Genomic DNA, 23,114 nt, shown 5'->3' on the forward strand with positions numbered 1-23,114 from the left:
TCTAGGAGGTCAAGGCTGCAGTGAGCTGTGATCGCGCCACTACATTCCAGCCCGGGTGACGGCATGAGACCCTGTTTCAAAAACTAAACAATCAATAAAACAAACAAAGAGGAACGCACTTGACCATCACAATAACCCAGTGGGTCAGTGCTGTTACCATCTCCATCCTGCAGATGGGGAAACCGAGGCACACAAGTGTTAAGAAACTTACCCAGAATCACCGGGCTGCTAAGTTACAGAGTGAGGGCCATCAAGCTCTGCACTCTGCTGTATCCTCTAAGCCAGGGGTTCCCACCCAGTGGCAAGGTCTGGAGACATTTTTGTTGTGTCTGGGGAGGGGGTTGTAAATGGCCTCTAGTGGGCAGGGGCCAGGGCTGCTGGAAAACCTCCCACCCAGCACAGGCAGCCCCACGTGGAGAGCCATCTGGCCCAAATGCCAGCAGCACCAAGGTGGAGAAGCCCTGCTCTGGGCTGTTCTGGCTGAGCAGAGCAGTCGTGGCTCCCAGCCACTGGACCTCCCTTGTCGTACTTGGTGTGGCCCCTGAGGCCCCTCTGCAGATCCAGGTTCTAGAGCCACCACCAACAGGACAGGAGAACAGGGAGAGGGGCCTGGAATGATCCAGGCTTTGCCCCTTTCAGGAAAAAGCCCTTGACTTCTCTGCTCTTCCTTTGCAGCATGAGGGTGACTGCAGCTGGGGACCTGGTAGCACAAAGTGCACTGGGGTGCCTGGGGGGCTGGGGGAGCAGCCGTCTTCATAGCAGTCCCGCAAGAGGCTCTGCGCATGGTAGGCACACGCCATGCTGACCTCACAGGGGAGGGACAGAACCACCCACTGCCCTTGGAAATGTCCACTTTAAGACACTCCCAGCCCCAGACCTCCTGGGCGAATCCTTCTTGCCCTCCCCTCCCATCTCCAGGACCAACTTCCAGATAGCCGAAGGTGGGTTTGGCACGTACTGAGCCTCAAATTCCACATCTAAAAAACTGAGAGGAGGCCGGGCATGGTGGCTCATGCCTGTAATCCAAGCACTTTGGGAGGCCGAGGAAGGCGGATCACTTGAGGTCAGGAGTTTGAGACCAGCCTGGCCAACATGGTGAAACCCCATTTTATTTTATTAAAAATAAAAAAATTAGTTGGGGGTAGTGGTGGGTGCCTGTAATCCCAGCTACTTGGGAGGCTGAGGCAGGAGAATCGCTTGAACTCGGGAGGCAGAAGTTGCAATGAGCCAAGATCGTGCCACTGCACTCCAGCCTGGGCGACAGAGCGAGACTCTGTCTCAAAAAAATAAAAAAAAAAAAAATAGAAAATAAATAAAACTGAGAGGAGGATTGGAACCACCTCATTGGCCTGCTATAATAATATTTTATTTATTTATTTTAAAGACAGGGTGATATGGTTTCGATCTATGTCCTCACCCAAATCTCATGTCAGACTGTAATCCCCAATGTGGAGGTGGGGCCTGGTGGGAGGTGAGTGGGTCATGGAGGCAGATTTCTCATGAATGGTTTGGCACCATCCTCTTGGTACTGTCCTGACAATGGTGAGTGAGTTCCCATGAGATGTGGTCGATTAAAAGTGAGCGGCACCTCCCCTCGCTCCTTTGCTCCTGCTCCAGCCATGTGAGACATGCCTGCTCCCTCTCTGCTTTCCACCATGACTGGAAGCTTCCTGAGGCCTCCCCAAAAGCTGAGCAGACACCAGCATCATGCTTTCTGTACAGCCAATTAAACCTTTTTTCTTTATAAATTACCAGGTCTCAGGTATTTCTTTACAGCAATGCGAGAATGACCTAATACACAGGGCCTCACTATATTGCCCAGGCTGGCCTCAAACTCCTGACCTCAAGTGATCCTCCCACCTCAGCCTCCCAAAGTGCTGAGATATAGGCGTGAGCCACAGCACCCAGCCTTGTTGTAAAAATATTTTTACTTATTTATTTATTTATTTTTGAGATGGAGTCTCGCTCTGTCTTCCAGGCTGGAGTGCAGTGGTGTGATCTCCGCTCACTGTAACCTCTGCCTCCCAGGTTCAAGCGATTCTCCTACCTCAGGCTCCCGAGTAGCTGGGATTACAGGAGTGAGCCACCACACCCAGCCAATTTTTGTATTTTTAGTAGAGAAAGAGTTTCACCATGTTGGCCAGGCTGGTCTCGAACTCCTGACCTCAGGTGACCCAACCGCCTTGGCCTCCCAAAGTGCTGAGATCACAGGGGTGAGCCACCATGCCTGGCCGTACAAATATTTTTAAAAGAGACTGAGTCTGGCAGCTCATCAAAAGGTAAACAAGAGTCATTATATGAGCCAATGACTTTACTCCTAGGTACACACCCAAGAAAACTGAAAACATGTCCTCAAACAGAAATGTGTACATAAATGTTCACGACAGCACTCTTCACAGTAGCCAAAAAATGGAAATCACCCAAATGTCCATCAACGAAAATGGATCAACAAAACGTGGTCTATCCATACAGTGGAATACTATTCAGCCATGAAAAGGAAGCACTGACACATGCTATACCACGGATGACCCAGGAACACATGACACTGAGCAAAAGAAGCCAGTCACCAAGGGACAGTCCCTGCACGATTCCCTTTACAGAAGACAACCAGAATAGGCACACCCAGAGACAGAGCAGACAGGTGGCTGCCAGAGGCTAGGGGAGGGGAAATGGGGAGAAACTGCTTGTTGGGTACGAGGTTTCCATTTAGCATGATAAAGAATGTTTTTGAGGGCCAGGCCTGATAGCTCACGCCTGTAATACCAGCACTCTGAAATGCCGATGCGGGCTGATCATTTGACGTCAGGAGTTCTCGCCAACATGGCAAAACACTGTCTCTACTAAAAATAGAAAAAATATTGGGAGGCCGAGGCGGGCAGATCACAAGATCAGGAGTTCAAGACCAGCCTGACCAACATGGTAAAATGCTGTCTCTACTAAAAATACAAAAATTAGCCAGGTGTGGTGATGCACACCTGTAATCCCAGCTGCTTGGGAGGCTAAGGCACGAGAATTGCTTGAACCCAGGAGATGGAGGTTGCAGTGAGCCGAGATCATGCCACTGCAATCCAACCTGGGTGACAGAGTGAAACTCCATCTCAATTAAGAAAAAAAAATGTTTTTGAGCCCGGGTAACACAGTGAGACTCCATCTCTATCAAAAAATTTTTGTCGCCCAGGCTGGTGTGTAATGGCGCGATCTCAGCTCACTGCAACCTCTGCCTCCTGGGTTCAAGCGATTCTCCTGCCTCAGCCTCTGAGTAGCTGGGACTATAGGTGCATGCCACCACACCCGGCTAATTTTTTTGTATTTTTAGTAGAGATGGGGTTTCACCATGCCGGCCAGGATGGTCTCGATCTCTTGACCTCGTGATCCACCCGCCTTGGCCTCCCAAAGTGCTGGGATTACAGACGTGAGACACCGTGCCCGGCCCAAAAATTTTTTCAAAATTAGCTGGGCATGGTGGCATTGACCTGTGGTACCAGCTACTCGGGAGGCTGAGGTGGTAGAATCACCTGAGCCTGGGGAGGTTGAAGCTGCAGTGAGTCAAAATTGTGCTACTGCACTCCAACCTGGGTGACAGAGTGAGATCCTGTCTCAAAAAAAGAAAAAAAAAGTTTTGGAACTATGTGTTACTGCACCCAACCTGGGTGACAGAGTGAGACCCTGTCTCAAAAAAGGGAAGAAAAAAGTTTTGGAACTAGATGAAGGTGATGATTGTACAACACTGTGAAGATACGAAACGCCACTGAACCGTTTACTGAAATATGGCTAATTTTATGTTATGTGAATTTCTTTTTCTTTGAGCAGCAGCAAGATTTATTACGAAGAGTGAAAGAACAAGTTTCCACAGTGTGGAAGGGGACCCGAACGGGTTGCCCGTGAATTTCATCTCATTAAAAAATGTAAAAACTTTGAGGCCAGGTACCAACCTAATTTGTTTTTTTGAGACAGAGTCTCACTCTGTTGCCCAGGCTGGAGTGCAGTGGTATGATCACAGCTTACTGCAGCCTTGACCCCCCAAGCTCAAGTGTTCCTCCCACCTCAGCCTCTCAAGCAGCTGGGACTACAGGCATGCACCACTTTTGTATTTTTTTGTAGAGACAAGGCTTCTCCATATTGCTCAGGCTGGTCTTGAACTCCTGGACTCGAGCAATCCACCCGCCTTGACCTCTCAAGGTGCTGGGATTACAGGCATGAGCCACCATGCCCGGCCCGTTTTTGTTTTTGTTTTTTGGAAACGGAGTCTTGCTCTGTTGCCCAGACTGGAGTGCAGTGGTGTGATCTCGGCTCACTGCAACCTCCGCCTCCCGGGTTCAAGCGATTCTCCTGCCTCAGCCTCCCGAGTACCTGGGACTACAGATGAGTACCACCACACCCAGCTAATTTTTGTATTTTTTAGGAGAGACAGGGTTTCATCATGTTGGCCAGGATGGACTCGATCTCCTGACCTCATGATCCACCCGCCTCAGCCTCTGGAAGTGCTGGGATTACAGGTGTGAGCCACCGCGCCAGCCAATTTTTTTTTTTTTTTTGACACAGAGTTTCGCTCTTGTTGCCCAGGCTGGAGTGCAATGGCGTGATCTTGGCTTACTGCAATCTCCGCCTCCTGGGTTCAAGCTATTCTCCTGCCTCAGCCTCCCAAGTAGCTGGGATTATAGGCACCCGCCATCACGCCTAATTTTTGTATTTTTAATAGAGACAGGGTTTCACCATGTTGGCCAGGCTGGACTCGAACTCCTGACCTCAGGTGATAAACACTCGCCTCGGCTTCCCAAAGTGCTGGGATCACAGGTGTGAGTCACCGTGCCTGGCCATTTTTTTTTTTAAGCAAGATCAAATAGATCCAATTTTCCTCGGCCCCACAGACCTTTTTTACCATAGGCTCTGGCGCCGGGTAAGTAAAACCCAAACACATGCCTGTGACCCTGAGAGGGAAGCTGTGTCTGGGCTCCAGGAGCTGGTGGACAGAGCTGGGCAGAATCTCATTCCTTCCCTTCTGAGGATTCCACGTAACCACTTGGGAGCCGGGAGGGCTGGCAAATTCTTTCCCTTTTGACTTCTGCCTTTTGCACAGGGAATGAACTGGACCACAGGTAATGTGCGCTCAGAGATCTTCAGATCAGGGTTCCTCAATCACGGTGCAGGTGGTGTCCATGGGACCTGGCCCGGGCTGTCTCTGATGCGGCCGCCCTGTGCACCGCAGGAGGTTGGGCAGCATCCCCACCTTCTGCTCAACAAATAATCACTTTCATCAGTGACAACCCCAGGGTCGTGACAACCAAAAATGTCTCCAACTCATGGACAGATGTCCTCTGGGGGACAAGATTGCCCCAGGTGGAGAACCCCTGCTCTGGATGCCTGTCACTAAAGCTACTGATGACCAACCAGAGCCCCATACAACATCATCTAAAACTCTTCATAGGCAACAAAAGAAAAAAACGATCAACTGGACACTAGAACCAAAAACTTTTGTGCATGAAAGGACGCTACCAACAAAATGAAAATGCAACACACAAAATAGGAGAAAATATTTCCAAATCAGGCCAGGTGCGGTAGCTCACGCCTGTAATCCCAGCACTTAGGGAGGCTGAGGCAGGCAGATCACTTGAGATCAGGAATTCGAGACCAGCTTGGCCAACATGGCAAAACCCAGCTCTACTAAAAATAGAAAAATTAGCCGGGTATGGTGGCACACACCTGTAATCCCAGCTACTTTGGGAGGCTGAGGCAGGAGAATCGCTTGAACCTGGAAGGCGGAGGTTGCAGTGAGCTGAGCTGAGATCGTGCCACTCCACTCCAGCCTGGGCAACAGAGCAAGACTTCATCTCAAAAAAAAAAAAAAACCCTGAAAATAACAACCATTGGTATGGATGTGGAGAAACTGGAACCCTTGTGCACTCTTGCTGGGTGCATGAGATGGTGCAGATGCTGTGGAAAACAGCATGGCGGCTCCTCAAAAAATTCAACACAGAATGACCACATATGCTCCAGCCATCCCACTGCTGGATACATCCACCCAGGAACGGAAAGCAGAGTTGATCAGAGATACACTTGTACACCCACGTTCACTGCAGCATTATTTACAATGGAATATTCTTCAGCCTTAAAAAGGAAAAAAATTCTGGAGGTTTCCCAAAGAAGGAAGTCTGCCTCAAGACCGTGGCACAGAAATCCTAAGCTTCCAGTCTGCTGGCCTGGCCTGCAGATTTCAGACTTGTCAACTTCTGTAAGCAACCAAGGGAGCTGTCTAAGTACCCATTCCTTAAAATAAATCTGTGTGTGTGTGTATCTTCTGTTGGTTCTGTTTCTCTGGAGAAGAACCCTAATACAAAGCGATATCTCACTGTCATTAGAAAAGGCTTCAGCATGGCCACGCACGGTGGCTCACACCTGTCATCCCAGCACTTTGGGAGGCCTAGGCCAGCGGATCACCTGAAGTCAGGACTTCGAGACCAGCCTGGCCAACATGGTGATGAAACCCATCTCTACTAATAAAACAAAAATTAGCCAGGCATGATGGCGAGTACCTGTAATCCCAGCTACTTGGGAGGCTGAGGTGGGAGCATCGCTTGAACCCAGGAGGTGGAGGTTGCAGTGAGCCAAGGTTGTGCCACTGCACTCCAGCCTGGGCAACAGAGCAAAAATCCATCTCAAAACAAACAAGCAAACAAAAAACCAGAAAAGGCTTCAGCAGCATCAGGAAAGGCAGGAAGAGACAAACGGACAGAGAAAGAGCTTAGGGGACGGTGCTGGGTAACAGGCAGGGCAGTGCTCAGTGTGATGGGGAGAGGCTGGAGAACCAGGTCCTGTGGGAGCAGCTCTGCCCTTGAGAGGAGGGCACAGGGAAGCTGAAGTGAAGTAGGACCAGCATGTAGGGGGCAGAGGCAGAAGAACAGGATGGCAAGGCAGTGCTGGGCATCTGCCTGAGTCACGGCCGAGTGGCTGTGCAGGCCCTGCAGGTGGGACTCTGCAGGGATACGGGTAGCCCTGTCCACGGAGGATCGCCCCAGGCCAACTGGACCAACAGAACCAAGCCCCGGAGCTGGTGCCTGACAGTTCCTATTTTTGGCAAGCCCCCTAGAGGACACAATCACTTGCAAGTTACCTTCATTCTCCAGCGGCGCGTCCCGCTGAGCTGGGTCCATGCATCTTGGCTCCTCCCCAGAAAGGTATACAGCCACGTCCTCCAAGTTCACGGGCACCTGCCAGAACGCACCCCACTCAGTCCTGGCCCCAAGCAAGCTGCCTCCTCCCCAACTAAGGCCACTGGCCCAGGGAGCTGCACCGCCACTGCCCCTCGAGGCTGGCGCCAAGCCTGGTGGTGCAGCTGGTCTTCTCCACTCTCGTTGCAGTGGTGAGTCCTGGTGTCTCCGCCCACTGCTCCCATGTGCCACTGCTGCAGAGCTGGGACACCACCGGAGAAGGGACAGATTCGCCACGAGGAGTGGTGGACCCACTGCACACTCAGCCACCGAGGCCCATGCTCCACAGGGAGACAAGAGCATCCCCTGGCTCCGTGGCTAGCCAGCCCCAGGACCCCATTGCGGCAGACGGGGGACTTCAGGATGCCTCTGGGCCAGTGGCTCCCAGATGTAGCACCAGATTGACCCGGAAGCATGATTAAAAAAACAAGCAAACTCTTTCCAGAACAGGCAAATTCACAGAGACAAGAAGGAGCTTTGTGGTTGCCAGAGGCTGAGGGAAAAACAGGTAGAGACTCTGGTAATGAGTCTAGGGGGTTTTCGGGGAGGGTCTAAAGGAAATGTTCGGCCGGGCGCGGTGGCTCACACCCGTAATCCCAGCACATTGGGAGGCCAAGGCAGGTGGATCATCTGAGGTCAGGAGCTCCAGACCAGCCTGGCCAACATGGTGAAACCCCATCTGTACTAAAAATACAAAAAAAATTAGCCAGGCATGGTGGTGGGTGCCTGTAATCCCAGCTACTCAGGAGGCTGACGCAGGAAAATCGCTTGAACCCGGGAGCCGGAGGTTGCAGTGAGCCGAGATCGCACCATTGCACTCCAGCCTGGGCAACAAGAGCAAAACTCTGTCTCAAAAAAACAAAAACAAAACAAAACAAATACACATACATACACACACACACACACACACACACACACACACACACACACACACACACATATAAAAATTATAAATAAATAAATAAAAATAAAACAGGCCAGGCATGGTGGCTTATGCCTGTAATCCCAGTGCTTTGGGAGACTTAGGCAAGAGGATCACTTGAGCCCAGGAGTTCAAGACCAGCCTAGGCAGCACAGCGAGACTGTGTCCCATTAAAAAAAAAACAAAAAAAAAACAACTAGCCGGGTGTGGTGGTGCATGCCTGTAGTCCCAACTAACTGAGGAGGCTGAGGCAGGAGGATCCCTTGAGCCTGGGAGGTCAAGGCTGCAGTGAGCTGTAATCACACTACTGCACTCCAGCGTGAGCACAGAGCCAGACTTTGGCTCAAAACAAACAAACAAACAAACAAACAAACAAAAACCCCAAAAAAACCAGCAAGCAAACAAAGGAGACTCCCATTCCAGCCCAGCGGTGTGGGAGGAAGCTGTGTTTTCCCCCAGAGTCCCAAGAGATTCCTGTGCCCAGCAGAGTAGGAGTCACCACCCTGTCTCACTGGTGGACCGCAGAATCTTCCGGGCACAGCCGAGTACTTAAATGGCCTCTGGAGAGAAGAAAAGACTTCCCAGGAGGCCAGGGGAAGTGACTCCAGGGTTGGGGCAAAGGGAGAAAACTCCAGGGAAGAGCTCCTCTGACATCCAAAACCTTGGCCCCCAGGAGAGGTGTCCCCTTAACAAGGAAGTGTGACACACAGGAGGTCGGGCCAGACCCCAGGATGCTGCAGACCAGGAGCATCCCACTCACCTGGGACCAGGCCGAAAGGAAGGGCGAGGCTGACGCCATCTCCTGATGCCGGGGAGCTGGAGGGCCTGGGAAGGAGCAGAGTCACCACCAGTCACACAGCTCACCCAGTACTGCCCCTGCCGTCCCCTGCACACCAAGGCCCCAACAGCCCGGCGGCTGCCCACCCAAGATCCACTCCTTGCTGGAGAGCCTGTGCACCCTGCATCCAGGCAGGCCTCTGCCCTGGCCACAGTCCACACCCCAGTCACCTTCACCTCCCTCCCCTGCACCACTTCTCATTCCTCCAAAGGGGTGCTACTCACCTCTCTCTGGCCACAACAGCGGGCCCCTCTGTGGCCTGTGGCTCAGCTGGGCTGGGGGCTGCTGGCTGGAGAATCGAGCCTCTTCCTCCAGGGACAGATCCTCTGGCTGAGCCTCTGCCTGGTGTTTTAAGAACTGTCCCCCTATCCCGAGGGGCACCTCGTCATCAGAAAGCAGCTCTGAGCCCTGCACACAGACAGTGATCTCCCCACCAGCTCCCAGAAGGCCAGAAGGAAAAATCCCCGCAGGGCCCCACACCCCTCATCTCAGGCACCCCAGCCGGCTGCCCACCCCCGGGCTGTCTGCAGCCTCCCTCCCTCTGCCCAGCCGTGTGGCAGTGTTCCCTGCAGCCAGCTCCCAGCCTGCTCTACTCCATGGTCTCTCCCTGTCACCACAATCGTTTCCCCATCACATTCTTACCCTCTATTCCTTGGTCCTCCTGATAGACCCTGGGATAGACCCTGGGCCAGAAGAGCCCTGAGTCAGCGCTGGACTAATTTCAGAAGTTCACAGAACTGCATTTGCTAGATTTTTTGAAATTATCTGGCCAGCTGCAATGGCTCACACCTGTAATTCCAGCACTTTGGGAGGCCGAGGTGGGTGGATCACCTGAGGCCAGGAGTTCGAGACCAGCCTAACCAACATGGTGAAACCCCATCTCTACTAAAAATACAAAAATTAGCCAGGCATGGTGGCAGCACGCTTGTAATCCCAGGTACTTGGGAGGCTGAGGCAGGAGAATCGCTTGAACTCGGGAAGTACAGGTTGCAGTGAGCCGAGATCGTGCCACTGCACTCCAGCCTGGGCAAAAGAGCGAGACTCCATCTCAGGGAAGAAAAAAAAAAAAAGAAAAAAAAAAGAAATTATCAACAGGTGCTCTGAGATGATCTATTTCCTAATTCCAGGAAAGGTGAGTTGAATGAAATTGGGTCTTAGAATTGAGCTCTGCAATAGCACTTGGACAAGAGACATCCCTAGGCAACTACAAACCCAGCGTCAGGGACCCATCTCAGGCTTCCTCTTATTCAACATTCCACACCTCTAAGGGAGCGTAGTCCCCTTGGGGAGCACAGCCTGCCCCTCTCAGCTCAGTGATGGCCATGAGGCATGTGTGCAGAGGTGTCGGTGCAGTGACAGAAGGAAGCCATGCCGGGAACCCCAAACACTGAAGCTGTGGTGGCCAGGAAAGAGGCTGGCCGGCTGGGAAGAAACCCCGATTTCTTGGCCACCCCGATGGCAGGATTTTCTGACTGCGGTCAGCTCACGCCGTGGTCAAGCATTAGGGGATGTGCCTCCTCTGTTGGCTGCAAAAGGCCAGCAGTGTGCAGCCAGCAGCACTGCCACAGGAAGAAAGGCAGCTGGTCAGCACTGCCCATGTGCCCCATCCACGCAAGGCCCTGAAAAATGAACTGAAACAGCAGGTGGCAGGACTTCTTTCTAATCTCAAGGAGTTCCACAACTGAAACTGAAGCAGCAGGAATGAGTAAGAGGCTTCCTCTACTCCTTCAAATGGGGCTGGAAGGAGGTGGAGAGGCACTGTCTATAGAGATTTCGGTGTGTCAGAAGGGTCCTGTCTGTGCCATCCAGTACAGTAGCCACTGGCCATGTGTGACGACTGAGCCCTTGAGAGGTGGTCAGTGTGACTGAGGAACTAATTTAACATTCTACACAGTGGCCGGGCACAGTGGCTCATGCCTGTAATCCCAGCACTTTGGGAGGCCAAGGCAGGCAGATCACTTGAGGCCAGGAGTTTGAGACCAGCCTAGCCAACATTGCAAAACCCTGTCTCTACTAAAAATACAAAAATCAGCCTGGCGTGGTGGCAGATCCCTGTAATGCCAGCTACTTGGGAGGCTGAGGCACGAGAATCACTCCAGCCTGGGCGACAGAGAGAGACTCTGTCTCACAAAAATAAAAGTAAAATAAATGGGCTAGGTGCGGTGGCTCACGCCTGTAATCCCAGCACTTTGGGAGGCCAAGGCAGGTGAATCACGAGGTCAGGAGATCCAGACCACCCTGGCTAACACGGTGAAACCCTGTCTCTACTAAAAATACAAAAAAATTAGCCGGGCGTGGTGGTGGGCGCCTGTAGTCCCAGCTGCTGAGGAGGCTGAGGCAGGAGAATGGCGTGAATCCGGGAGGCGGAGCTTGCAGTGAGCCGAGATTGCGCCACTGCTCTCCAGCCTGGGCGACAGGGCGAGACTCCATCTCAAAAAAAAAGAAAAAAAAAAAAAAAGTAAAATAAATGTACATAGCTATAATTTAAAAAGCTACATGTGGCTGGCAGCTACTGTTTTGCATGGCACAGCTCTAGAACCTCTGGGGGCTCTAACCAAAGTGCCCCCCATGCCCCTGGTCTTTCTTCCCAGTGTTCTCCCACTTTGGGGGTAGTTTCAACTCCCTGCCTTGGAAGGTGCCGGACCTCTCTCCCACCAAAACCTATGTTTGGGGCTGGCGTAGTGGCTCATGCCTGTAATCCCAGCACTTCGGGAGGCCAAGATGGGAGGATCACTTGAGGCCAGGAGTTCAAGACCAGTCTGGGCAACATAACGAAACCCTGTCTCTACAAAAAATACACAAAATTAGCAGGTGTAGTGGTGCATGCCTGTAGTCCCAGCTACTCAATAGGCTGAGGTGGGAGGATTGCTTGAAGCCTGGAGGTAGAGGCTGCAATGAGCGGTGATCACACCACCATAGCCTGGGCAACAGAGCGAGACTATGTCTCAAAAAAAAAAACATGTTTGGCCTACCCTAGGACAGTGTTCACAAACCATCTGCACTAGCTAATAAAGGGCTATTGGGGTAGGATGAGGTTAATCAAAGGGTGGACACCCATTAGCCAAGGCTGAGAAATCTTTTGCAGTTGCTTTCCTCAAAAGGGCTCAGGGGCCAGGCAGCCACACTTGGTCACCCAATGACCAAGGAATCTGCAGCTGCAGACCCCAGCAGCAGGGCCCCATTTCCTCACCTGAGGGTCAAAATGCCCCCACTCACCCGCTGCCTGTGTTTCCTGGGCTTCCGCTGCAGCCCTTCCACAAGGACCACGGCCTCCTCACCGCTCTCCGGCTGCTGCTCGCGTACCCGAGCCTGGATCTCCCCCGGCAGCACAGTCAGGAACTGCTCCAGCACCAGCAGCTCCAGGATCTGCTCCTTGGTGCGCAGCTCCGGCCGCAGCCAGCGGCAGCACAGCTCCCAGAGGCGGCTCAGGGCCTCCCGGGGCCCAGCCACCTCCTGGTAGCAGAAGAGCCGGAAGAGCTGGCGGAAAGTCTCAGGGCTGGGGTCCTCCGTCTCCACGGAGGGCTCCTCTTCCAAGCAGAAGTCCTCCTCCACCTTCACAATCAGGATCTCTTCCTGTTCCAGGTCCTGCTCCAAGGTTGGCAGGGGCTGGAGGCCAGGGACAGTGGCCATTGCTTCCGGTGGGCCTTGTTCCTTTTCAGGCCTTAGAGTTGAACCTGTCTCTCTCTATACCTCTGGCCAGACACAGGAAGAGAGTTTTTTTCAGGGCCCTGTGGAGAGACGATAAAACCATCTGAAGGGCAGCCCTGGGGCTGGATAAGCCCTTTGGCCTGGGAAGCCCCTGCCCTGGTTCCAAGGCCAGCTCACCCCACCATGGAAAAGGAAAAGGAAGTGGATGAATGTCATCTTTGTTATTAACCCCCTGTTAATTCCCGGGTAATTTACTGAAGGGCTCTGGGCTTTGCTTCCTCACTGGGCAAACAGAGATGATAACAGGACCTACACACACAGGTTGCTGACAGAACTAAAAGGGATGGCTGGGGGCAGTAGCTGACGCCTGTAATCCCCGCACTTTGGGAGGCAGAGGAGGGCAGATCACGTGAGTTCAGGAGTTGACCACCTGGTCAACGTGGTGGAACCCTGTCTCTACAAAAAATACAAAAATTAGCCCGACATGGTGGTAGCACATCTGTAATCCCAGCAACTCGGGAGGCTGAGACAGGAGAATCGCTTGAACCCGGGAGATGGAGGTTGCAGTGAACTGAGATAGCGCCACTGCACTCCAGCCTGGGCGACAGAGAGAGACTCAAACAAAAACAATCTAAAAGGGATGTTTGCGGTCAGAGCTCGAGAATCGTTATTTTCCATGATTAGAGTGGGTCCTATATGGAAGGGGTTCCTTTGGAAATCTGATGAAAAGTAGGGCCTTTCTGCAGACTCTGCCTCAACTTGATCCCCGGTGTCCAGGTCTGGCGAACCCTGAAGCCCCTACGCGGCCCCGTCAGGCACCCCCGCGTGGGTGGTCACGACAGCCCCCCAATTCCAGGGTCCTGGGAGAGCTGGGACCCCCAGGCCGGGCTGCTTTCCCGTCTCATCCCTCAGGTGGAGGGTGAGCGGTACCCGAGGCCGCGGCACAGACCCGGGTGCTGGCGCGGGCCGCGAAATCGAAGCTTCGGCCGGGACCCGCGTCCCCGCGCCCCCCGCACTCACTGGAAGCGCTGCCGGCCGTGGGCAGTTCGGGGCAGGACCGGAGCGGCGGGTCTCGGCGGGAGTAGGACTGCGGGCCTCAGGCTTGGCAGCCAGGGACGCCAGAGCCGGGGCCGAAGACCCTAAACCAGGGGTGCAAACCAGGCCGTGCGGGTGGGCCCGCAGGCGGCATTGTGGGTAACGTAGCCGTGGCACCATTGGCTAAGCCGGCCGTTGGGGGCGTGGCAACACGGCCGAGTGGGCGGGTCCGCGACGTGCACTGTGGTTAATGTGGTCCTCAAAGGCACGCATTGTGGGTAACGTAGTCCAGCACCTCGGTGACCGCGCGAGCGTGCGGCGACTCTGCAGCCTCTGGGCTACTTTCCCAGTCACTGTTCCACACCCGCTCCGCTCTCCTCTGGCCGCCTCCTCCATCTTTAAAGCCAGCAAAGTCGTCCGGGCACGGTGGCTCACACCTGTAATCCTAGCACTTTGGGAGGCCGACGCGGGCGGATCACCTGAGGTCGGGAGTTCGAGACCAGCCTGACTAACGTGGAGAAACCTGGGCGTGGTGGTTCATGCCTGTAATCCTAGCTACTCAGGAGGCTAAGGCGCAGGTTGCAGTGAGCCGACATCCTGCCATTGTCCTCCAGCCTGGGCAACAAGAGCGAAACTCCATCTCAAAAAATAAATAAATAAATAATAAATAAATAAAATAAATAAAGGCAGAAGTTGTTCAAGATAAAACTGGAAGAGATGCCAAGTGCTTGCGCCCACCCTCCCCCAAGAGGGCCCCCAACAACGTCCAACCCCAAATATCCCTTGTCCTGCCTGCTTCTTTCTGACAACATAATAATGGGCATCAATCTTTGTTGTTGTTGTTAGAGATGAAGTCCCACCATGGTGCCTAGGCTGGTCTCAAACTCCTGGGCCCAAGCAATCTTCCCGCCTCAGCTTCCCAAAGTGTCAGGATTACAGGTGTGCCCAGCCAGGTATCAATTCTTGTATGTATGTATTTATTTATTTAGAGACAGGGTCTCACTCTGTCGCCCAGGCTAGAGTGCAGTGGCTCGACCTTGGCTCACAGCAACCTCCGCCGCCCGGTTTTAAGCAATTCTCCTACCTAACCTCCCGAATAGTTGGGATTACAGGCACGAACCACCAGGTCCGGCTAATTTTTGTATTTTTAGTAGAGATGGGGTTTCCCCATGTTGCCCAGGCTGGTCTCCAACGGCCTCAAGCAATCCACCCACGTCAGCCTCCCAAAGTGCTGAGATTACAGGAGTAAGCCACCGCTCCCGGTCGCATCAATTCTTGAGCATCAAGCAAGCAAAACACATTTGTACTTCGTTTCTTCCTCATTTAGTAATAGAGGTACTATAACTAGACCTACCGGTTCAACAAAACAAAACAAAACCCTGAAGCTCTGAGAGTTTTAAGTATTGAACCCCCCAGAGAAGGTCAAACAGGAAGTACAGAAATGGGATTGGAACCCAAATCTTTGATTCCAGAACTTCAGCTCCTAACTACCAGGTTAACGTAGTTTGCCCCTAATCCTAACTTGGGCATCCTAAGGCCCGTCTCCTATGCTGGATTCTCGCTGCTTTTCCTCTTTGGTTGAACATGATCCGGAGTTTCCCTCTGCCTGGGGTGCCCAGGAAAGAGTCCCAGCACCGAGTTCGGGTGAGCAGCAACGCAGCATACACAGCAGGCGTACACTCAACGTACGCCCCGCCCCGCACAAGCTCCGCCCCGCATGCGCGCCCCGCCTCGCATCCCGGATCTACCCCCGGAATCTCGCGCGTCTTTCCCAAAGCATCGGCTAGGACTCAGCCCGCCGGAAACAAATTTGGGGACGCCGGATTCAGGAAGCTGGCAGGACTACATTTCCCAGAGCGCCCCGCGCCCTCCCCGGAGGCAGATTCCTGGGCGCTCTAGAGGGGGTGGGTTGGCGGCCTGGAGGGTCTCCTCAAGTGGCGGCACTGCCAGGGGCTCGGAGGAAGGGGCTGCAGTCTCCCGGTGGCAGCGTCCTTGTCGTCGAGACTGCGGGCGGTTCCCTTGCGCGCCCTGAACCTCAGTTTCCATATCTGTTAATGGGGGACATTAACCCTCAAGGTTGTAACTCATTCAAGACCATTCATCCAGGCATAATAAATGCATAAACGCTGCACGTTGAGTCCTCCCAACTGCCCCCTTAACTAGGCGCTCGGGTGATGGAGTGGTGGCAGGTGCCTGCTTTCATGGAGCTTGCCATGAGAGGCATACAGTGGACAAAATTACCATGAGAGGCATACAGTGGACAAAATTGCACGAAGAATTGTTTAATCACTTCTTTGGCAAATGTTAGCAAGCGGCGTAAAAGAGGGAACCTGATACCTTCAGGGTGGAAGTGACAGTTGAGCAGCCTAGGGTTAACCTGGGGAACCGGTGGGGAGGATTCCAGACAGCAGGAGTGAAAAGTGCAAAGGTCCTGGGGCCGGAGAGAACACGGTGCGTTTGAGGAACAGAATGGAGACCAGAGATTGGGAGATGTGGCTGGAGGGATGGGCAAGGCCTGACCATACTTGGAGACTCTGGTGAGGATTAAGGATTTTATCCTTGGAGTCAATAGAGTTTGGGGTTTTAAGTAGGATAGCATCGTGATCAGATAAGAAGCTTTGTGGAGTACAGATCTCAGAAAGACTGGAGAGGAGCAGTGAGACTAGCTGGAAGCTCCTGGAGTGGTCCAGAGTTGGGGTAACTAGTGATGGTGGTAGTCACTGACAAGGATCTGGCCAAGATTCCTGGAGCACATTCAACAGTGCTTGGTGGTTGATTAGCTTGGGGTGGAGGAGGGAGACAAGGATAACTCCTTTGTACAATGGGGATGGTAACATCACCTGCAGTAGGCACCATTATGGTAAAGAGACAGAACAGAACGTCAGACACATATAGGCTTAATATGTCCTAATTCTGTTAGTAATAAAGACTACCTCTGTGTTCAGGGCAGTGTTGTTTGTAATGGCAAAACCGAAAACAGTCTAAATGTTAGTCAACAGGAGAATGATGGATAAATCTCACGGAGGCTATGCCAAACAAAAAAAGGCAAGTGGCAATATGATACAATTTTCATAAATTTTGAAAATGCAAAACAATTCTACATATGATTTAGAGACATGTATGCGGTTCAAAGAAATGTTTGGGACTTGGATGAACACCAAATTCAGGATGGTGATGGGGCAAACGTTGAAGAGGGATGTGATGGGGGGAAGGTTCAGGGGGCAAAAACTGCAAGTTTTAATGTGCTTTTTATTTATTTTTAATTTATATATTTATATTTTTATATTTATTTATATTTTTTTATTTATTTTTACTTATTTTATTTTTTTTTGAGACAGACTCTCACTGTTGCCCAGGCTGGAGTGCAGTGGCGCAATCTGGGCTCACTGAGACCTCCGCCTCCTGAGTTCAAGCGATTCTCCTGCCTCAGCCTCCCAAGTACCTGGGATTACAGGCATGCACCACCACACCCAGCTAATTTTCGTATTTTCAGTAGAGACGGGTCTTCACCATGTTGGCCAGGCTGGTCTTGAACTCCTGATCTCAGGTGATCCACCCTCCTTGGCCTCCCAAAGTGCTGGAATTATCAGGTGTGAGCCACCGCGCCTGGCCATTAATGTGCTTTTTAAAAACAACAACAAAAGCCATTATTTTGAATTTGTATTCATGAAGTATTAAAACCTACCAAATGTTTTAATAAATAATCTTAAATAGGCCAGGTGCGGTGGCTCACGCCTGTAATCACAGCACTTTGGGAGGCCGAAGCAGGCAGATCACTTGAGGTCAGGAGTTCAAGACCAGCCTGGCCAACATGGCAAAACCCCGTCTCTATTAAAAATACAAAAAATTAGCCAGGCATAGTGGCACACACCTGTAATCCCAGCTACTAGGGAGGCTGAGGTAGAAGAACAGCTTGAACCAGGGAGGCGGAGGTTGCAGTGAGCCAAGATTGCACCACTGCACTCCAGCCTGGGCGACAGAGCCAGATTCCGTCTTAAAAAAAAAAAAAAAAAAAAAGCCGGGCACGGTGGCTCACACCTGTAATCCCAGCACTTTGGGAGGCTGAAGCAGGTGGGTCATGAGGTCAGGAGATCGAGGCCATCGTGGCTAACACGGTGAAACCCCGTCTCTACTAAAAATACAAAAAATTAGCCGGGCGTGGTGGCAGGCGCCTGTAGTCCCAGCTACTCGGGAGGCTGAGACAGGAGAATGGTGTGAACCCGGGAGACGGAGGTTGCAGCGAGCCAAGATCGCGCCACTGCACTCCAGCCTGGGTGACAAAGCGAGACTCCGTCTCAAAAAAAAGAAAAAAGAAAAAAGAAAAATTAGAAGGCCAGGTATGGTGGCTCACACTTGTAATCCTACCACTTTAGGAGGCCGAGGAGGGCAGATTGCTTGAGTCCAGGAGTTCAAGACCAGCCTGGGGCTGGGCGAAACCCCATCTCTACTAAAAATGCGAAAATTAGACAGGCAGGGTAGTACACGCCTCTAATCCCAGCTACTCGGGGGGCTGAGGCAGGAGGATTTCTTGAGCCTGGGAGGCGGAGGTTGTGATGAGCTGAGATTGTGCCACTGCACTCCAGCCTGGGTGACAAAGAGAGACCCTGTCTCAAAAATAAAATAATTAAATCTTCAAAAAGAGCCTCCAGAGGCTGCAGGGCTCTGTAGACACCTTGATTCTGGCCCAGTGATATTGATCTCATACTCCTGACCTCTGGAGCTATAGGAGGATACACGTGTGTTGTTTTAAGCCTCTGCATTTGTGCTAATTTGTTACAGCAGCCACAAGAAGTGAAAACATATGGAATGTAGTGCTCTGGGTGGCCAGGGAGGCTGTTTCCCCTCCTTTACAACACTGGACAGCCTTGGGGGATCCCCTAACACATGCGCATAACAGTTAGTGGTGCACAATGTGGGGGTGCTATGCTTCCCCCAGGGGACACGTGACTTGTCCTGGATAATTTTTTTTTTTTTTTTTTTTTGAGACAGAGTCTTGTTCTGTCACCCAGGCTGGAGTGCAATGGCACGATCTTGGCTCACTGCCACCTCTGCCTCCCGGGTTCAAGCAATTCTCCTGCCTCAGCCTCCCGAGTAGCTGGGATTACAGGCGCCTGCCACCACGTCTGGCTAATTTTTGTATTTTTAGTAGAGACGGGGTTTCACCGTTTTGGCCAGGCCAGTCTCAAATTCCTGACCTCAGGTGATCCACCTGCCTCGGCCTCCCAAAGTGCCAGGATTACAGACTTGAGCCACTGTGCCTGGCCCCAGGATAATTTTTAATTAGCAACAAAGTGAGAGTTGCTACTGGTGTCTGGTGGGTGGAGGCCAGGGATGCTACTAAACATCCTACAGTGTACAGGACAGTCCCCACCACAAAGAATGATCTAGACTGGGTGAGGTGGCTCGTGCCTGTAATCCCAGCACTTTGGGAAGCTGCAGCAGGAGGATCTCTTGAGCCCAGGAGTTCATGACCAGCATCGGCATCATAGTGAGATTCTATCTCTACAACACTAGATAAAAATTAGCTGAGGGGCCCAGTGCGGTGGCTCAAGCCTGTAATCCCAGCACTTTCAGAGGCTGAGGCGGGCAGATGGCTTGAGCTCAGGAGGTCGAGACCAGCCTGGGCAACATTGTAAAACCCTGTTTCTACCAAAAATCCAAAAAAAAAAAATTAGCTGGGCATGGTGGCATGCACCTGTGGTCCTAGCTACTTGGGAGGCTGAGGTGGGAGGATCGCTTGAGCCCAGGAGGCAGAGGTTGCAGTGAGCTGAGATCATGCCCACGGAATTCCAGGTTCAGTGACAGCTAGAACCCATCTCAAAAGAAGAAAAAAAAATCTTTGGCTGCTTTGCCTGTGGAGTAGTCATTCTTTTATTCCTTTGCTTTCGTTTTTTTTTTTGTTTTTTTTTTTTTGAGACAGAGTTTCGTTCTCTCGCCCAGGCTGGAGCGCAGTGGCGTGATCTCCACTCACTGCAAGCTCCGCCTCCCAGGTTCACGCCATTCTCCTGCCTCAGCCTCCTGAGTAGCTGGGACTACAGGCGCCCGCCACCATGCCTGGCTAATTTTTTGTATTTTTAGTAGAGACGGGGTTTCACCATGTTAGCCAGGATGGTCTCGATCTCCTGACCTCGTGATCCACCCACCTTGGCCTCCCAAAGTGCTAGGATGACAGGCATAAGCCACAGCACCCGGCCCCTTTGCTTTCTTAATAAACTTTTTTTGAGGCAGAGTCTCACTCTATTGGCCAGGCTGGAGTGCAGTGGTGCGATCTTGGCTCACTGTAACCTCCATCTCCCAGGTTCAAGCGATTCTCCCGCCTCAGCCTCCCTAGTAGCTAGGATCATGGGTGCGTGCCACCATGCCCGGCTAATTTTTGTATTTTTAGTAGAGACAGGGTTTCACCTTGTTGGCCAGGCTGGTCTTGAACTCCCGGCTTCAGGTGATCTGCCCACCTCAGCCTCCCAAAGTACTGGGATTACACAGGCATGACCCAGCCTTCTTGATTAACTTTCAAAAAAAAAAAAAAAAAAAGCCTGGCACTGTGGCTCATGCCTGTAATCCCAGCACTTTGGGAGGCCGGGACGGGCGGATCATGAGGTCAGGAGTTTGAGACCAGCCTACTCAACATGGTGAAACCCCGTCTCTACTAAAAATACAAAAATTAGCCGGGTGTGGTGGCGGGAGCCTGTAATCCCAGCTATTCGGGAGGCTGAGGTGGGCAGATCACCTGAAGCCGGGAGTTCAAGACCAGCCTGGCCAACATGGTGAAACCCTGTCTCTACTAAAAATACAAAAATTAGCCGGGCATGGTGGTACGCACCCATGATCCCAGCTAGTAGGGAGGCTGAGGCGGGAGAATCTCTTGAACCCGGGAGGCAGAGTTGCAGTGAGCCAATATTGTGCCATTGCATTCCAGCCTGGGTGACAAGAGCGAAACTCCATCTTAAAAAAAAAAAAAAAATTAGCTGGGTGTGGTGGCATGTGCCTGTAGTCCCAGCTACTCAGGAGGCTGAGGTGGGAGGATCACTTGGGCCTGAGACGTTGAGGCTGCAGTGAACTATGATTGAGCCACCGCATTCCAACCTGGGCAGTAGAGCAAGACCCTGTCTCAAAAAGAAGAAGAAGAAGAGGAAGAAGAGGAAGAAGAAGGAGAAGAAATAGAATGATCTAGCACAAGTGCTGGTGGTGCAGAGGTTGAGAAACCTGGTCTGTGAGATGTATTCCTAGAAATGCAACGGCTGAGCCAAAGGGTGTGTGCTTTTGAAATGCTGTAGATGTTTCCATATTGCCCAGGGCTAATCTTTTTTTTTTATTTATTTTTATTATTTTATTTTATTTTTTTATTGATCATTCTTGGGTGTTTCTCGCAGAGGGGGATTTGGCAGGGTCATGGGACAATAGTGGAGGGAAGGTCAGCAGATAAACAAGTGAACAAAGGTCTCTGGTTTTCCTAGGCAGAGGACCCTGCGGCCTTCCGCAGTGTTTGTGTCCCTGATTACTTGAGATTAGGGATTGGTGATGACTCTTAACGAGCATGCTGCCTTCAAGCATCTGTTTAACAAAGCACATCTTGCACCGCCCTTAATCCATTTAACCCTGAGTGGACACAGCACATGTTTCAGAGAGCACAGGGTTGGGGGTAAGGTCACAGATCAACAGGATCCCAAGGCAGAAGAATTTTTCTTAGTACAGAACAAAATGAAAAGTCTCCCATGTCTACCCCTTTCTACACAGACACGGCAACCATCCGATTTCTCAATCTTTTCCCCACCTTCCCCCCCTTTCTATTCCACAAAACCGCCATTGTCATCATGGCCCATTCTCAATGAGCTGTTGGGTACACCTCCCAGACGGGGTGGTGGCCAGGCAGAGGGGCTCCTCACTTCCCAGTAGGGGCGGCCGGGCAGAGGCGCCCCTCACCTCCCGGACGGGGCGGCTGGCCGGGCGGGGGGCTGACCCCCCCACCTCCCTCCCGGACGGGGCGGCTGGCCGGGCGGGGGGCTGACACCCCCACCTCCCTCCCGGACGGGCCCAGGGCTAATCTTAAACCTTGGGATGTGCTGTGACGTGGGCCAGTGTCTCAGCCAACTCAGATGTTGGTCGTGGGTGGTTTGAGTGCCCACGGGCTCTGGAAGCTCCCCAGTCCTGGAGTCAGCCTGCGGTGTGGGTGGAGAAGCTGGTTTGTGAATTCAACCAGCAGATCGCTGTAGGGCAGGCAATGCAGGGTCCGTTCTGTTCAGTCAGCAGCCCTGTTCTTACCACCTGCCATGCACTGGATGCAGGGATGAAACTGACATATCTCTGCCCTCACTATGTTTCCAGCCTAATGGGGGAGACTGACCAGGAAACAAACTAGGTGACACACACTCAGAGGGGGCAGTGAGTGGGTTGCCTGGGGAAGGCAAGGAGGGCTTCAGGGAGAAGGTGACTTTTAGTTGGAACAAAACTGCTACTCATTGTTGTCATTTGTTGAAGGCTCACCTTGCACCCAGCTTCCTAGATTAGAGGGGTAGCCCTTTCTTTTATTACCAAACTAATGACTAATGTAGCTTTGGCCCCCATGGTGTGGGATTCTGTGAAATCCATTTATTTTCTAGCTTTTTTGTTTTGTTTTGTTTTGTTTTTGAGATGGAGTCTCGCTCTGTTGCCCAGGCTGAAGTGCAACGGTGTGATCTCGGCTCACTGCAACCTCTACCTGCTGGGTTCAAGTGATTCTTCTGCCTCGGCCTCCTGAGTAGCTGGGATTACAGGTGCGTACCACCATGCCCGGCTAATTTTTTTTTTTTTTTTTTTTTTTTTTTGAGATGGAGTCTCGCTCTGTCGCCCAGGCTGGAATGCAGTGGCGGGATCTCGGCTCACTGCAAGCTCCGCCTCCCGGGTTCATGCCATTCTCCTGCCTCAGCCTCCCAAGTAGCTGGGACTACAGGCGCCCGCCACTACGCCCGGCTAATTTTTTGTATTTTTAGTAGAGATGGGGTTTCACCGTTTTAGCCGGGATGGTCTCGAACTCCTAACCTCAGGTGATCTGCCCGCCTCGGCCTCCCAAAGTGCTGGGATTTCAGGCGTGAGCACCGTGCCCGGCCTATTTTCTAGCTTTCTGGAGAGTCCCTGGGCTGTGGAGCTCACACATTCTGCAGCAGGTCCTCCACCCTGGACTGCTGCTCCATCTTGATCATGTAGCCTCTGTCTTCATGCCATTTCTCCAGGTTGTGGTCGGCACATCCTAGGGAGTATTTTATTTTGTCTGAACAACAGTGCTATGTGCTTGGTACCATGATCCCCATTTTACAGATGAGGAAAGTGAGGCAAGGGGAGCATAAGTAACTGACTTGCCTGCTGGGATTTTCACACTGGCATTGCCAGGCTCCACAGTGGGAGCTGTTTGCTGGCCATGCTGGCCCCTGGGGCAGGGGAATGAGGAAGGTGGGGGATGGTGGAACACAGAGATCAGGTAAGACAGCCAGAG

At 52.2% G+C, this 23,114-nt stretch overlaps 1 protein-coding gene across 4 annotated transcripts in view, besides 2 other annotated features; it reads right to left on the reverse strand.

Annotated features, from left to right (window-relative positions):
- Nucleotides 1–13,779, reverse strand: part of ZNF500 (zinc finger protein 500) — a 22,918-nt gene extending 9,139 nt beyond the window's left edge. For 3 of the 4 annotated variants that reach the window (XM_011522453.3, NM_021646.4, NM_001303450.2), the window contains exons 1-5: nt 13,634–13,779; nt 12,182–12,693; nt 9,190–9,373; nt 8,888–8,952; nt 7,109–7,205 (exon numbers count right to left, since the gene is read on the reverse strand). In XM_011522453.3, coding sequence (XP_011520755.1) covers nt 7,109–7,205; nt 8,888–8,952; nt 9,190–9,373; nt 12,182–12,595 — 760 coding nt within the window. In that variant the 5' untranslated portion in view covers nt 12,596–12,693; nt 13,634–13,779. Of the gene's footprint in view, nt 1–7,108; nt 7,206–8,887; nt 8,953–9,189; nt 9,374–10,226; nt 10,907–12,181; nt 12,694–13,633 lie in introns of those variants that run through there. The other variant, XM_005255243.5, reaches the window with a different exon arrangement.
- Nucleotides 13,526–13,825: a silencer, noted in NCBI's record as "silent region_7165". NCBI's record gives its function as "represses an Ori minimal core promoter by ATAC-STARR-seq in GM12878 lymphoblastoid cells {active_cell/tissue: GM12878}" and the evidence as "EXISTENCE:reporter gene assay evidence [ECO:0000049][PMID:35858748]".
- Nucleotides 15,018–15,097: an enhancer, noted in NCBI's record as "active region_10344". NCBI's record gives its function as "activates an Ori minimal core promoter by ATAC-STARR-seq in GM12878 lymphoblastoid cells {active_cell/tissue: GM12878}" and the evidence as "EXISTENCE:reporter gene assay evidence [ECO:0000049][PMID:35858748]".

The sequence above is a fragment of the Homo sapiens genome, chromosome 16 (assembly GCF_000001405.40).
Source record: "Homo sapiens chromosome 16, GRCh38.p14 Primary Assembly".
Classification (NCBI taxonomy): Eukaryota; Metazoa; Chordata; class Mammalia; order Primates; family Hominidae; genus Homo; species Homo sapiens.